Source organism: Homo sapiens, chromosome 15 (genome assembly GCF_000001405.40).
Source record: "Homo sapiens chromosome 15, GRCh38.p14 Primary Assembly".
Lineage (NCBI taxonomy): Eukaryota > Metazoa > Chordata > Mammalia > Primates > Hominidae > Homo > Homo sapiens.
This window is the reverse complement of record NC_000015.10, coordinates 59447389-59464475: the sequence shown is the minus strand read 5'-3', so window position 1 is coordinate 59464475 and position 17087 is coordinate 59447389. Positions and strand designations below refer to the sequence as shown.

Here is a 17087-nt window from a genome sequence, read left to right as displayed (position 1 = left end):
GCTGGCAAGGATACAGAGAAAAGGGAGCTCTTATACACTGTTGGCGGGAATGTAAACTAGTACAGCCACTATGGAGAAAAGTATGGAGGTTCCTCAAAAAACTACAAATAGAACTACCATATGATCCAGCAATCCCACTACTGGGAATTTATCCAAAGGAAAGGAAATCAGTATATTGAAGAGACATCTTCACCCCCATGTTTATTGCAGCACTATTCATAATAGCCAAGATATGGAATCAAACCTAGGTGTCCAACAATGGATGAATGGATAAAGACAATGTGGTGTATATACACAATGGAATACTATCAGCCATAAAAAAGAACAAAATTCTGTCTTTTGCAACAACACGGATAGAACAGCAGGACATTATGTTATGTGAAATAAGCCAGGAACAGAAAGTTAAACACTGCATGTTCTTACTCATATGTGAAAGCTAAAAAAAGTTGATCTCAAAGAAGTAAAAATTAGAATAGAGAATACTAGAGGATGGGATGGGTAGGGGGAAGGGAAGGAGATATAGCAACTTGTTAAACGACACAAAATTACCTTGATCTGGTCACTGCATATTAGATGTATTGAAACATCACTAGGTACCCCAAGAATATGTATAATTATTGTCTGTCAATTTTAAAATTTTTAAATTAATAACAAAAACAAAAAAAACTGACAAAATTAATAAAACCAAAAGTTGGTTCCTTGAACAATCAGACACAGTAATTAAGATGGCAACTCTCCCCAAATGGATCTATACATTATTTCTTTTTATTATTATTATTATTATTGTTATTTTTAGAGAAAGATAGGGTCTCACTATGTTGCTCAGGCTGGTCTCAAATTCCTGTGTTCAAGTGATTCTCCTACCTCTGCCTCCCAAAGTGCTGGGATTACAGGTGTGAGCCACTGCACCCAGCCTTTTTAAAATCTATACATGCAAAGCAATCTCTATCAAAGTCACTGTTTAATATAAACTGATAAGCTAATCCTAAAATTTAAACGAAAATGCAAAGGACATAGACTAGTCCAAAACTACCTTTTAAAAAGAACTTACATTAGTTGCAAGTTGGAGAACTTACATTACCTTATTTCAAAAATATACTCTAAAACTAGAAATCAAGACAATGTGGCATTGACATTAAGAAAATCATACAGAACAGTGGAATCCAGAAATAAACCGTTATATTTTATGTTCAATTGATTTTCAACAAAAGGACAAATGGGAAAAGGATAGATTTTCCTAAGATAGCGAGATGAAAAAAAAATTAACTTAGACCCTTACCTCACACCATATACAAAAATTACCTCAAAATGGTTCACAGACCTAAGTGTATAAACTGAGAATCTTGAATTAAACATAGGAGAAAATCTTTGTGACCTTGAATTAATAAGCAAATAGTTGTAAAGATGCAACACAAAAAGAATAAACCATTGAAGAAAAAAATTGATATTAGACTTCAATAAAACTAAAAATGTTCACACTTCAAAAGACACTATTAGGAAAACGAAAATATAAGCCACAGAGTGGGAGAAAATATTTGTAGATCACATATCTGATAAGGGACTTGTATCTAAACTACATAAAAACTTTCATAAGTTATCAATAATATGACAAATAACCCAATATAAAAATGAATTCTGATACATGCTACATTATGGATGGACCTTGAAAACATTATGCTAAGTGAAAAAAGCCAGACACAAAAGTACAAATTATTGTCTGATTCCACTTATATGAAGTAGCTAGAATAAGCAAATTCATAAGGACAGAAAATAGAATAGAGGTCACCAGGGGCTGAGGGGAAAGTGGAGTGGGGAGTTACTTTTTAATGGGAACAAAGTCTCACTTTGGGATGATGGAAATCTTTTGGAAATAGACAGTAATAATGATTGCCCAACATTGTGAATGTACTTAATGTCATTAGATTATACACTTAAAATGGTTAAAATGGTAGCTTTTTTCCCCACAATGAAGAAAATCTAACTTTAATAAAATGGGTAGAAGACTTACATAGACATTTCACCAACAAAGACATACAAATGATCAATAAGCATATGAAAAGGTGTTCAAGATCATTAGTCATTAGGAAAATACAAATTAAAACCACAATGAGATACCACTACACATCCATTAGAATGACTATAATAAAAAAAGATAATGCCAAGTATTGCTGAGGGGGTAGAGAAACTGGGACCTTCATACATTGCTTGTGGGATTGTAAAATGTTATAGCCACTTTGGAAAATTATTTGGCTATGTTTTTTTTTTTTTTTTTTGAGATGCAGTCTCGCTCTGTCGCCCAGGCTGGAGGGCAGTGGCATGGTCTTGGCTCACTGCAAGCTGCAGCTCCCAGGTTCACGCCATTCTCCTGCCTCAACCTCCCGAGTAGCTGGGACTACAGGCACCCGCTACCTCGCCCAGCTAATTTTTTGTGTTTTTAGTAGAGATGGGGTTTCACTGTGTTAGCCAGGATGGTCTCAATCTCCTGACCTTGTGATCCACCTGCCTCGGCCTCCTTAAGAGCTGGGATTACAGGCATGAGCCACCGCGCCCTGCCAGCTATGTTTTAAAAAGTTAAACATAAGCTCACTATAAGACCCAGCAATTCTACTCCTAGTAATTTACCCAAGAGAAATAAAGACATATTTTCACATCAAAGACCTGTCACAAATGTTCATAGCAGCTTTACTCATAAAAGCTAAGAACTGGAAACAAACCAAATGCCCATCAGTTCATGAATGGTTAAACAGAATGTGGTATATCCAGAAAATAGAATATTACTCAGACATAAAAAGGAATATGATACATGCTAGGATATGTCTGAACCGCAGAAAGATTATGCTAAATGAGAGAGGCCAGGCTGGGCACAGTGGCTCACATCTGTAATCCCAGCACTTTGGGAGGCTGAGGCAGACAGATTGCTTGAGCCCAGGAGTTCAAGCCCTGTCTGGGCAACATAGTGAGACGATGTCTCTACAAAAAATACTATAGTATAGATGGACCTTGTAGTATTAAAAATACAAAAATTAGCTGGGCATGATTGTGCACACCTGTAGTCCCAGCTACTTGGGACGCCGATGCAGGAGGATCGGTTGAGCCTGAGAGGTCAAGGCTTCAGTGAGCCATGATTGCACAACTGCATTCAAAACAAACAAACAAACAAACAAACAAAAAGAAAGAAAAGGAAAGAAAGAAGCCAGATGCGAAAGACCTCATATTGTAAGGTTTCCATTTATATGAAATGTCTGGAAAAGACCAATTTCTAGAGATAGAAAGTAGATGAGTGGTTGCCTGGGCTGGGGTAGAAGTAGGAATTGACTGCAAACAGGCTTATGTGAATTTTGGGAAGGTGATGGCAGTGTCCTAAAATTGAATTGTGTTGAGGTTGCACAATTTTATAAATTTACTAAAAATCATTTAATTTTACACTTTTTGTGACATTTACATTATATCTCAATAAAGCGGTTAAAATAAATACATACATACAAATCTGACAATGGAAAAAAAAGAAATGAGGTTTAATTTTAGGAAGCATAATTCAGATATAATCTCCATCACAGGAAGCAAAAGTTTTCCTTAATCTAGCCATATATCTATTAGTATTCATATATTCAGTCATTACATGTGAAAGATATGAACATTGCGTAGTGAGGGAAACCCAAGCCCTAAATGATCTGAAGCTTTCTGAACTAAACTGTGTGGTCCCTGTGATTGCTCAATAAATAGCAGTAAATCTACCAATTCTAAAAATAGACAATATTGGCCTTTTATTGGTCTCATTTCAAAGAAAACTACAGCAGTAAAAAGGGGAGTCTGAGGAGCAATCCAAATGCCTAAATTGTTTGAGTAATAAACTGTATTACATATAATCATTATGACCTAGAAACATTTAATCTGAAGCAACAGAGTCTGACCTTAGTAATTGACTTAATAGCTGTCTTCAAAGATATGAAAGATTATAGAGTGAAACTATTCGACTAGTTCTTCTCTCTCTTCATTAAGAGCCAAACAAAATAAAATCATTTAATAATCAGCAAGGTAAATTTAGATTAAACATAACACTAACAGTAACTGTTATCAAACACTGGAATAAATTTAATTAGGATATTTCTGCAAGCTGTCTCCTTGGCGATCATTAAGAATAGACAAGACAGACAGCTTTGTTCTAAATGCAGTACTGCCTGGGAGGTAGGAGTTAGATGTGGGTGACCTCCTGACATGGAGCAATTCTGTGGAAAGGGACATAGGCCACCTGACTTTCACAAACCTTACCTCGATATCCCGATTAAGTTGCTTCACTATGGCAGTTATGTTTCTGATATGCTCCTCCAAGAAAAGCCTGGCCAAGCGGTCACCTCCCCCTTTGTTTTGCATTTTCTGCAAACTGTTGACAATGTCATCTTTAATCCGAAAGGCGTGCTCTACGAGGGCGGCGGTGGTTTTCTCATGGCAGAGGATCCTGTCTTCCAGCTGCTCCACGAGGCTTACAGATGAGTATGGTGCCATGGTCAGGGACTGGCTGTGTCGGGGCATGGTTCTCACTCGCCTGCAGAAGGGAACCATGAGGGTTGTTAATTGGGAAAAAATAATGTTTAAAGCCAGATTCAAAACTTCCCAGAGAAGTCTGGAAATACAAATTATCTATAACTACAAGCTAAATAGGGTTTGAGGCAGGATTTCTGCCTAAAAAAGTTTTCTTCACAAGCCGGGAAAGATCTTTAAATAATCATGCCCACAGACTTCAGTGTTTTAGAAGCGGTCTCCATGACTTCCAAGAGCAAGAGGCTGGCAGAGTTGGGTACACCGAGATGTCTCCCCAATATAATCTATGTTATCAAGATCAAGTGCATTAACAAAGTCTCCTAACATGCTCTCCTCCTCCTCCCTCTCTGAAACAGTGGTTACAAACTCAATGCCTACGTGGGTCAGGCAGGCGACATAAATGAGTGAAGCATACTACATATGAGGCAATAGGGAGTGTCAGGGATTTAGAGATCTGGAAAGGGCATTTCCCAGCTAAAGGGAGCCACAGTTCTGCTCCACCCATGAGTGACCATCAGGGATTTCAGGTCCCTTTTTCCAGATGATCTGATATTTCTCAAGAAAAGCTAGCAAATCCCGACTTGTATGTGAAATCGCTTGATTTTAAAATGTTAACGATTCATTTAAAAAGTATTTAAGGCCAGCACAGTGGCTCACACCTGTAATCCCAACACTTTGGGTGGCTGAGGTGGGAGGACTGCTTGAGCCCAGGAGTTTAAGATCAGCCTGGGCAACACAACGAGACCCTATCTCTACAAAAAAAATTATTTAAAAATTAGCTGGGCATGGTGGCACATAACTATAGTCCCAGCTACTCAGGAGGCTAGGTGGGAGATCACCTAAGCCCAGGAGGTCAAGGCTGCAGTGAGCTGTGACTGTGCCACTGCACTCTAGCCTGGGGAACAGAGTGAGACCCTGTCTCCAAAAAAAGTATTTAAGAACATGCTAGGCCAAGCAATGTACTTCATGAGCCAATTTTGGCCGATAGGCCCCTAATCTGCAACTTCTGATTTAAAAAGCTTAACAGGGATGTTAGCCTGAAGCCCCCGGAGTTATATTTCACTCTCAACAGGAAATTCAAGTCTACTGTAGGACTACTGTGAAATCTCTACTTCTTGGGGTCACTGAGTGGTCCACAGTATCCTATAAATTGAAAGCTAGAGGACACAATAGTGTTTCTCTTGCCCTTGAACAAAACCATTCTCCGATAATGTAACAGCCCAAGCTTTGATTTGTAACTATCACACCCACTAGCAGCCCCCATGGGATGAGTGGAAAGGAAAAGTATACCTTAGATGCATATTTTCCATATATTATACCTTTCCTTGGTGACACGAGAAGGAAATACAGTGCTCCGTTGGGCCATTTTCTTTTTAATAATTCACATCTGTTGAAAAAATAAGCACTAAATTATTTAACAGTTTATATCTAGAACTTAACCTCAAAAGCTTATTATTAAGTTGCTAAGTGGATCATAAATTATGTTGAAACACTGATAAGTTATATTATTAAATGTTTTGTATCTTATACATGAAATAAACAGCATATGTTTCCAAATAAGAAGAAAAGCAATCAAGCAAAATCAAAGCTCTTCTGAAATTAATATTGCTAAGCCTTGCAAGACAGACCAACAGGGACTGTACAATGGAGTTTCCTGAAGTTTCCTCACTCCAAATCTGCATCTCAAGCTTGAGAAACCACTTTTAACAGAAACTAGAGTGTTTAATAGGCTTATCCAATCTTATACTTCTCTGTAGAATTTTGCAGGAAACTACCTCAGTAAATTTGATCTCAGAAAACTTTTACTACTAATTCCATGGTAAATGAAGAGCACTTATTTCTAAATTAATCTCAAATAAAACAGCACATGATCAATGTGATCTGATTTGTGGGAAGATATCTATCCACCAAGGGAGTGAGAAAGATATTCCTCATTAGAACTTGAAAACTTTATAATAAGATACAATCATTCATATTTCATCTTGCATATAAGGAACATTTGGTCCCCACAACTCATTAGAAATGTGAAAAACACTAGAGGATGTTTAAAATACTTTATTATTTAGGTTCCTCAATACTGCTATCAATTGCCTTAAAATAATGAATGCCTACTAACTATGATCTGATTCCATAATTAATTCTCATTTAGATGCTGGATTCAGAAAGCATTTCTGATTGAAATCACTGTTTTGGCGTCATCTCTCTAGTGTTTTATTTTTGGAGTTTCAAAATGTGCACATTTCATTTTCTTAGACAAAGAACTTTAAACAAATTACATTTAAGGAAAAAAAAGTCATTCATGCCAAACAAGCTATGGTGCCCAAAGAGTTCTTCAGTGTCAAAGAGAAGCATTTCTGCCATATAGACTACAGTAGCCCTCCCTCATCTGTCAGGGGTACATTCCAAGACCCCCAGTGGATGCCTGAAACCGAAGCCTATATATACTATTCTTTTCTACACATACATACTCATGATTAAGTTTAATTCATAAATTAGGCACAGTGCTCTTGCACTTTGGGGCTATTATGAAGTAAAATAAGGGTTACTTGGTCACAAGCACTGCAATACCCCAACAGTCAATCTGATAACAGAGATGGCTATTAAGTGACTCACAGGGCCAGGTATACATGGTGTGGATATGCTGGACAAGAGGATGATTCCCGTTCTGGGCAGGAGGGAGCAGGATCGCACAAGATTTCATCACACTATTTCAGAACAACACACAATTTAAAACTTATGAATTGTTTATTTCTAGAATTTTTTATTTAATATTTTTGACCATGGTTGACCTTGGATAATGTGGAAAGTGAAACCATCGATAAGGGGGGACTACCGTAAATAAAATCAGGCCAGTGTGGGAAATGCTGTTATTTAGAATCATAGAATCTTTACAGTTTTAAAGTTGTAAGACATCTCAGTTGAGATATTAATCTACAGAATAGCCTAACTTAAGAAACATGTATTTGGCATCTATTAGGTAATTAAGTAACCTAACTAGGAAAAACTAAAATCCCTTCCCTCAGCAGAAGTCATCTAAACCAACCAGAAAACAATGGGTTGTGGCTCATGCCTGTAATCCCAGCACTTTGGGAGGCCAAAGTTGGAGGATTGCTTGAGCCCAGGAGTTCAAGCCCAGAATTTCGAGGCCAGCTGGGCAACATGGCGAAATCCCATCTCTACAAAAAATACAAAAATTAGCCAGGCGTATTGATGCACACCTGTAGTCCAAGCTACTCTGGAGGCTACTCAGGAGGATCACCTGAGCCCAGGGAGGCTGAGGCTACAGTGAGCCATGATAGCGCCACTGCACTCCAGCCTGGGCAATAGAGGAGACTCTGTCTCAAATACAAACAAACAAAAACAATGGGTTAAGTGGCTAACCCTGTGAAAAAAAGCACATGGGGAGGGAAAACAGGAGAGGGGTCGATTTTTCCTGGGTAGCAGCTAGGTCAGGAAGAACTGATGAGAATGAGTAGGCTTTCCCAAAATAGGGGATGGAGAGATTGTTCCACAGCTTCTCTTCAACACTCCAACCTCTACTTCCTTTCTTCTGAACATGCTCTGGCCTGCCTAACCTGTTCTTCCGCCCTCATATTTGGCCACTCCCTACCACAATCACCTGCTCCAGTCACCGGGAACCCCCGCCCCCGCCACCCCATCCACCACCGTCCTTGGATATGTCCTGCACACTCCTGCCATCACACCTCTGTGCGTGCGCTCTATGGGAAATGCCCTTCCCACCCCTGCCAGCCTAGAAAATTCATGCACTCTTTAAAGCCCCACTAGCCCCTCCAGTCTATAAAGTGGCTCTCTCTCTTGCATTTCTCCAGCTCTTTATCTGTTTGTATACTATTTATTGTGCTCTATTCTTTTTAGTTGTTTAATAGTCTAGCTCCCCTACTAAATGACACGCTCCTTACAGGCATGTTTCAAATCTTAATAAACACAGGGCTGACCTAGAAGTATCCATATATGTTTGTTAATGAATGAGTGAATGCCCAGCACTTCCAGATCAGAAACTGCAGCAATAAAGATATAAGACAATATACTTTAGTTAAAAAGTATAATTATTTACCAAGACTGAATCCCAAATATTAGACACTCAATAAGTATCTGAAAGAATGGGGACTTTGGCATCCCCTTCTCTGAAGGCCATTTCATCTACCTGAACAGAGCCACAAAAGTCAAGCCACACCACTGATTATCGGAGATGGCTTTTCAGAAGCAAACCCTCCTAAGCGCTATGCAGCTCTATGACAAGAAATTTCATAAGGCATGAGCTCACAAGACACATTATTCAGAATGGGTGCCCTTTATGAATGTGGTGAGGATCTGCATATCTGGCAGGTCGCTTGGTTTGTTAGCATCACGATTCTTTGCCAGAACGTGGAATCTATATTGCAGATGAATAAAGATTGATAATGAATAAGTCACAGGATTAAATAACATCTCAAGCATTGTTTCCAGATCTTCCCGTTGTTAATTCTGGCTTACCTGCCTGAGGTTATCATCTCCTGTACGTTTATAAATCTGATCACTGATACCACAGGTCTGTCTACAACCTTATCACACAGGTCTGGGTTTCATGCTGTTTTGATTGTGCAGTGATTCCACTATATTAAACAATATATTAAACAATCTCCACTTTATAAAGTTTTAAAATTGGGGGAAGTTGGGGGAAGGGACAGGTAGGTAAAGCAAGAAGAAAAGAATGGAAAGAAGTAAGAAAAAATAAACTCTGGGGCCAGGCACTGTGGCCTGTAATCTCAGCACTTTGGGAGGTTGAGGTAAGTGGATGGCTTGAGCTCAGGAGTTTGAGACCAGCCTGGGCAATATGGTGAAATGCCATCTCTACAAAAAAAAAAAAAAAAGTTAGCCAGGTGTGGTGGCACACACCTGTAGTCTCAGCAACCTGGGAGGCTAAGGTGAGCCCAGGAGTTTGGGACCAGCCTGGGCAACATGGCAAAACCCCATCTCTACAAAAAATACAAACAAAAAAAAATTAGCCAGGTGTGGAGGCACACACCTGTAGTCCTACCTGGGAGGCTAAGGTGGGAGGATTTCTTGAGCCTAGGAGTTTGAGACCAGCCTGGGCAACAAAGCAAAACCCCGTCTCTACAAAAAGTAAAAAAAAATAAAAAAAATTAGCTGGGCATGGTGGCATGCATCTGTAGTCCCAGCTACCCGGGAGGCTAAGGTGGGAAAATCACCTGAGCCTGGGAGGTCAAGGCTGCAGTGAGCCATGACTGCACCACTGCACTCTAGCCTGGGTGACAGAGTAAGACCCTGTCTCAAAAAAAGAAAAAAGAAAAATAATCCAAATGCCCAAAATATGCAATATATAAATAGAATTCAGAAGTTCACAGAAGAGTAAAGTGAAATGCTATTATCTAAATCAAAATGATTATTTGTGATTATGAGGATTCTGTGAAGGGAGAAACAAAAAAGGAAGTAGATATACATAGAGATGAATATTTTAAAATTTTAATGAAAAAGAAGACATTAATGCCAACCAATTATTATAGTTTTATAAGTGATGTGACACTGAGTAGAAAAACCTGCCATACCATTTTAATGTAAAATGGTAAATGAATTTAATAAATTAAAATGATAATTTTTACTAAAGAGTTGAATACCAATCATGTAAAAACAGTTAATTTTTCATTTCACTATTAAAATATAGGATTGATACATTATGCCCAACCATCAGAATAAAAAATAGGCAAAGCATTTATGAATAAAGTGGTTGTAATATGATGGTAAAACAAAAAACCCTATTTCCTTATAGCTAAAAACAGAGTGAAAGGATAGAGGGCAGGAACAGTGGAAGGTTTGTCTGGAAAGACAGCTGGATGTTGTTCTCTAACTCACCTCCAACAGCACCCTCAGGCCTTTGGACTTGATCCCCAGGCCCTGAGGAGTGATAGGAAGTTGTGGGATGGCAGAAGGCAAGGGCCTCCCAGGCAGGCAGGAGTCAGAGGAGATGGGGAGTCACAGTGGTGCATGCAGGCCCAAGGCCCTGGTGACTAGACTGGGAATTCAGGCAGCCCAGAGATGGGATCTGGCTGGAGTAGCAGGAGAGGTATCGAGATTCACCTAGCACTTCTCATTCCTCTCTCTCCTCTTGCCTCCCTCCCTACCCTCTTCCAGCTCTTCTCCCTTACCTTCTCCCTGCCTCCTCTCTTCCAAATTTTTTTTTTTTGCTTTCCCCACCATTGAGTCCTCTTCATTTTCCTTTGCCCTTTCTCTTAACTTCCCATTTTTACTGCCTGTTTTCCTTCTTCTACTGTCTCTCTCATCCCTCTTTCTCTCACTCTCCCTTTGCACAGCTACAGTCCAACATATTTTTCTCTCATAGAAAACATGGTGGTAGGATAAGAAAGGCTCTTGCTTCAATCCTGGCTTCCCCACTAGCTGTATGATCTCAGCGGGCCCACCTTAGTTGGTTGAGTTGGGGGTCACATAACTAACAGCTGCTCACACGTAACGTAACGAGTAACTGCTTACTTGAGAAGGGCCGGTACTCATGAAGCACATTTATGTGCATTAGTTTAATTCATCCTCACAATCATTTGTAAAGTATTATACTCTTATTATCAACATTGAACCAGAGGAAACAGAGACTTAGAAATGTTCAGCAACTGGCCCAACATCACATGGCCAAGAAGCAGTAGAGCAGAGATTTGGACCTAGAACCTCAGCCTCTGCATCACCAGGCATTAGCCACAGGAGGCTATGGAATATCCAGAACAGTGTCTGGCCTTAGCACACTGGATAAGCTTCCAGTAAGGGTTGGTTCCTTTCCCTTCCCTGGCTAATGTCCCTTTATGAACATCTGATAGAATACATATCTATTTTTTAAAATAAAACTTTCAGCCAGGAGCGGTGGCTCATGCCTATGATCCCAGCACTTTGGGAGGCCGAGGCAGGAGGATCACTTGAGCCCAGGAGTTCAAGACCAGCCTGGGCAACACAGCAAAATCCTATCTCTACAAAAAATACAAAAATTAGCCAGGCATGTTGGTGTATGCCTGCAGTCCCAGCTACTTAGGAGGCTAAGGTAGGAGGACCACCTGAGCCTGGTAAGTTGGAAGCTGCAGTGACCTGAGATCATGCCACTGTACTCCAGCTCAGGTGACAGAGTGAGATCCTGTTTCTAAATAAATAATATAATATAATAATACTTCATAGACTATGTGTATGCTGCATTTTCGAATTGACACTACATCATGAGCATGATTCCACGTCAATATATAAAGATATACATCACCATTAAAAATTTTTTTGTGTGAGACACTGTCTCATTCTGTCACCCAGGTTAGAATACAGTGGCTTGGTCATAGCTCACTGCAGCCTCCAATTCCTAGGCTCAAGCAATCCTCCTGCCTCAGCCTCCAGATTAGCCGGGACCACAGGCACTTACCACCATACGTGGCTAATTTTTCAATTTTTTACAGAGATGAGGTCTTACTATATTGCCCAGGCTGGCCTCAAACTCCCAGCCTCAAGTAATCCTCCCACCTTGGCCTCCCAAAGTGCTGGAATTACAGGCGTGAGCCACTACGCTCAGCCTACATCACCATCTTTAATGCCTGTGTGATAGTCCACTGAATGGATCTCCCATAATTGTTAGCCAGCCCCTTAATGATGGACATTTTCACTGAAATAGCGTTTATAATCATGGATCAGTTCAGCTTTTTGGTATCTTATTTTCCTTTCCTTTGTTCTACAAAATGATGCAGGTAGTGTAGAAAGCCAATGGGAACACTGCAAAATTCAAGTTAAGATGAGACTTTGACAACGAAATCTGAAGAATCAGGAAGAGATGGGAACAGCTGATCCACAAAAATGATCCAAGACACTGCTGACACTCATTACTGAAATTCGGCAAACACTCATCATACTAGTTCAATATCCATCTTTGGCTCTATGCTGCATGCTCCATGAGGACCTGTGTTGTCCACAGCTATATCCCAAGCACTTGGCACATCAGAGCTAATCAGTAAATGTTTGCTGGGTGAGTGAATGTCCAGGAGAGATAACTGAATTGAAGTAATTTCATATTGTTGAATATAATCAACTGAATTATATTCTGGCTTGAGAATGAATGTGCAACCAGAAAGGAGGATGGTATACACAGCATGTCTACTAAAAGCAGAGCTTGAAGAGACAAAATGTATTGGTGACCAGATGTGGTGGCTCATGCCTATAATCCCAGCACTTTGGGAGGCCGAGGTGGACGGATCATTTGAGGTCAGGAGTTCAACACCAGCCTGACCAACATGAGGAAACTGCATCTCTACTGAAAATACAAAAATTAGCTGAGCGTGATGGTCCACACCTGTTATCGCAGCTACTCGGAAGGCTCAGGCAGAAGAATCACTTGAACCCAGAAGACAGAAGTTGCAGTGAGCCCAGATCACACCACTGCCTTCTAGCCTGGGCTGGATAGAGTGAGACTCATCTCAAAAAAAAAAAAAAAATTATTGGTGTTTTCAAGGACCTAGGAATCCAGGGCAGCAGGAAAAGCTCTATAATAGAGGGGGATGCATTAGGCTCCCATGGTCCAGTGACATTAGCCGTAAAGATAATCCTATTCACTCCTTGCCCTGAGTCCATACTCACCAACCACATCTTTTAGCTTCCCATATAGCTGTGCATAAAAGGAGAGTACACAGGAATCGGCAAACACAAGCCCAAGTCTATCTGCCAGCTACTTTTCTTGGTGTGAATTAATATATTGGAATTTCACCTCTGATGGGAACCAGACTAGGTAAGTCAGCCCCCTGATAATCTCTGATCACCCTAACAATGCTGATCTAAACCCATGACACTGGAACCCATGATGCTGAAACATGATGATCAAAACATGGTCCCTGCTGTGGTGGACAGACTCATAGGGTGCCCCCACAACACCATCCTTGTCTCTTGGTGTTCACACCTTGCATGGTCCTCTCCCTTTGAGTGTGGGTGGGACCTGTGACTTGCTTCTAACCAAGAGAATACAGCATCCAGAGACCAGCCAACTGACAGTCACGTGTACTCAGTGGGCAGTTGGAGTCAGCTGGGGTTCTAATACCAAACTACATAGGGTGTAATTCTGTTCACTGGAAATAGAATATTTACTTTATAATCTAAGTTTTAAGTCTAAATGGATTTCCAAGTGGCTGTCTTGCTTGGCAAATCTTAAAAGAATATTGAAGGGTAAGAACTTGAATAAGTTTTGTTGTTGTTGTTCTTAATATATGCAACATTGGCTCTGTTCTGGACAATGGAAGCAAATTATAAAATAAATCTAATTTGCCATAAGAGATAAAATCCCCCAGAGATACCATTTCATCACATCAGACTGGCAAAAATCAAGTATGAAAAGATCAAGTATTGACAAGAATATATATGGAACAACAGGAGCACAAGATGGGAGTGTGAATTGATACTACCACTTTAGAAAGCAATGTTGAATATCTAGTAAAGCTGAAGATGCACAAACCTAATGACCTAATAATTCTACTATTAAAAAATCCTCAAAAACTTTCCAAATGTGCTCTTAAGAAGACATTTGCAAGAATACTTAAGGTAGCATTCTTTCTAATAGCAAAAAAGTGAGGAGTGGGGAATGAACGCCCATCATTAGGCAAATGGAAGAATAAACTATGATATATTCATGCAATGAAAGAACAAATAGTATTGAAAATAAATGAATTAGCAGCGAGGTGCAGTGGCTCAGGCCTGTAATCCCAGCCCTTTGGGAGGCCGAGGCGGCAGATGGCTTGAACCCAGGACTGGGCCTGGGCAACATGGCAACCCCATTTACATTAAAAAAAAAAAAAAAAGAAAGAAAGAAAAATTAGCTGGGTGTGGTGGCACACACCTATTGTCCCAGCTACCAAGGAGGCTGAGGTGGGAGGATCACCTGATCCTGGGGAGGTCAAGGCTGCAGTGAGCAGTGACCTCATCACTGCATTCCAGCCTGGGCAACAGCGTGAGATTTTGTCTCACAAAAAAAAAGGAAAGAAAGAGAAAAAGAAATGAATTATAATTACAAGTCCCAATGTGAATGAATCTCACAAATATATTAAGTGAAAAAAGTAAGCTGAAGAAGGATAAGAACACTATACAATGTCATTTTTTTTTTTTTTTTTTTTTTTTTTTTTTGAGACAGAGTCTCGCTCTGTCGCCCAGGCTGGAGTGCAGTGGCGCGATCTCGGCTCACTGCAAGCTCCGCTTCCCGGGTTCACGCCATTCTCCTGCCTCAGCCTCCCGCGTAGCTGGGACTACAGGCGCCCGCCACCACGCCCGGCTAATTTTTTGTGTTTTTTAGTAGAGACGGGGTTTCACTGTGTTAGCCAGGATGGTCTCGATCTCCTGACCTCGTGATCCGCCCGCCTTGGCCTCCCAAAGTGCTGGGATTACAGGCGTGAGCCACCGTGCCCGGCCTACAATGTCATTTTTTAAAGGTTTAAAACATGCCAAATAATATGCCAAATCTGTAACATCTCAAGATGAATGTGGAAATGACAAATACCAAATCAGGGTCATATTTCTTTCTAAGTGAGAAATAGAGAGGAATAGGTAAAATACTTGGGGCTTTGACTAAACATATCTTTTACTTCTTAAACTTAATTTTTCACTGTATCAATTTAAAAGAAATAAATTACTTCTTCTTGCCCCCACTTAAAAAAAATATGTAAACCAAGAGTTCAAAGGGGAGTCAAATTGTTAGACTCTCCAGGGCATGTACAGAACTCACTCTTGCCCTAAGCATTCTAGGACCATGAAATTGGAATTCCATGGCAAAAGTAACTAATCTCCATGAAATCTCTACTCTTAAAGCATTTTATCCATACTTAATACTATGTGATCTTAACTAGATAGCAACATTTCTATAAATGGCTATTGGATAAATGTCCAACAATAGAAGAGCAGTTAGTTAGAACACAGCACATCCACTCAAAAGAATATCAATAGCTGGCCAGGCATGATGGATTACATGTCTGTAATCCCAACATTTTTAGAGGCTGAAGTAGGATGATCATTTCAGGCCAGGAGTTCAAGACCAGCCTGTGCAACATAGCAATGCCCCCGTCTCTACAACAAAATAACAATAAAAAATAAATTAGCCAGGCATGGTGGCGAACAGCTGTAGTCCAAGATACTCAGGAGCCTAAGGCAACAGGATTGCTTGAGCCCAGGAGTTCAACACTGCATGACACTGCACTCCAGCTTGGGCAACAGAGCTAGCTAGATCTTGTCTCTAAAAAAACTAAAAAACAAAAAATAACAGCTAAGAATATATTTATGTATTTATGTCCTTGCTATATAATGTTAAGGTAAAAAAGAAAAAAAAAACCCACCAAGGTGGATTTATAGTATGCTTTATCTATCTATCTATCTACCTATCTATCTATCTTACTAAACATTCTACAATGCACAATAGTACACATTATTTAGAACTACAACCAGGGCCTGGAAGCCAGCACTTTGCTCCAAGGCACCACAGTTTAGATGGTGCAAACATTTTGACTCATGAGTTTAAAGGACACTGCAATTTCTTTTTTTTCAGGCAGAGTCTCACTCAGTGGCCCAGGCTGGAGTGCTGTGGCACAATCTCCACCCACTGCAACATCTACCTCCCGGGTTCAAGTGATTCTCCTGCCTCAGCCTCCTGAGTATCTGGGATTACAGGTGCATGCCACCACACACAGCTAATTTTTGTATTTTTAGTAGAGGCGGGGTTTCGCCATGTTGTCCATGGTGGTCTCAAAAGCCTGACCTCACATGATCTGCCCACCTAGGACTCCCAAAATGCTGGGATTACAGGCCTGAGCCACCACTCCCAGCCAACCCTGCAAATGTTGAAGTTATCTACTACCACTACCACTGCCACCATTACCACATCCTACTCCTCTTGCTCCTCCCTCTTCCCTTTCTCCCCACAGTGAGAAGACTGCTTGACCATGGGCCAGCAAAGATGGATGAGGCAGGAGACTCAAAGTCAAGGAGAAGGCAACCACTGCCCTGCTGAGTGCCCAGGCCACCAATTATCTGCCTTCCTTCGCTCCTGTATCTGAGGCCTCCTCCCTTCATGCCTAGATGCCTCCATGGTCTTGAGGCTACCTTTAATGCTGTTTTCCCCTCCCCTCCCTTCACTCATCCTCCTACCAACTTTCCCCCTGCCAAATTGCTGGAATTATCTCTGTGGTGTGGATAGTTGTTATCTGGCTAAATCATGTGCTTTGGTAAAAGAAGGAGGAAGAGGGCTGTGCAACTGAGGTCAGCATGCCTAATTTCCCAAGCCAATGTATCTAGATTGACAAGGCCAAAGGAAAGACCAATGCTAATAGCAGGAGCTTTCCACAAATTAACCACACTGTCCCAATTGAGGAAGTGCCTCCAAATTATGTGCAAAGGAAATGAAAACAGTGCAAATAAGCACACTCTGTCTCCTTCATAGGCAGCTCATCTCTCACCACCCCTGACCAGAATTTTTTAGAACAGCTGAGCAGTCCTTGGAAGAAATATACTGGGCTAGCACATTGAGGAACGCA

General features: G+C 40.6%; 1 protein-coding gene across 14 annotated transcripts in view; it reads right to left on the bottom strand.

The window, feature by feature from the left end:
• The window catches only part of FAM81A (family with sequence similarity 81 member A), a 125575-nt gene that overhangs the window by 59080 nt on the left and 49408 nt on the right, over positions 1 to 17087 (bottom strand). For 7 of the 14 annotated variants that reach the window (XM_047432171.1, XM_047432170.1, XM_024449846.2 and 4 more), the window contains 2 exons: positions 5830 to 5926; positions 4270 to 4543 (listed from right to left, as the gene is read on the bottom strand). In XM_047432171.1, the coding sequence (XP_047288127.1) occupies positions 4270 to 4543; positions 5830 to 5849 (294 nt within the window). In that variant the 5' untranslated portion in view covers positions 5850 to 5926. The remainder of the gene's footprint in view (positions 1 to 4269; positions 4544 to 5829; positions 5927 to 17087) is intronic. The other 7 variants (XM_011521248.3, XM_011521247.3, XM_047432168.1 and 4 more) reach the window with 1 other exon arrangement.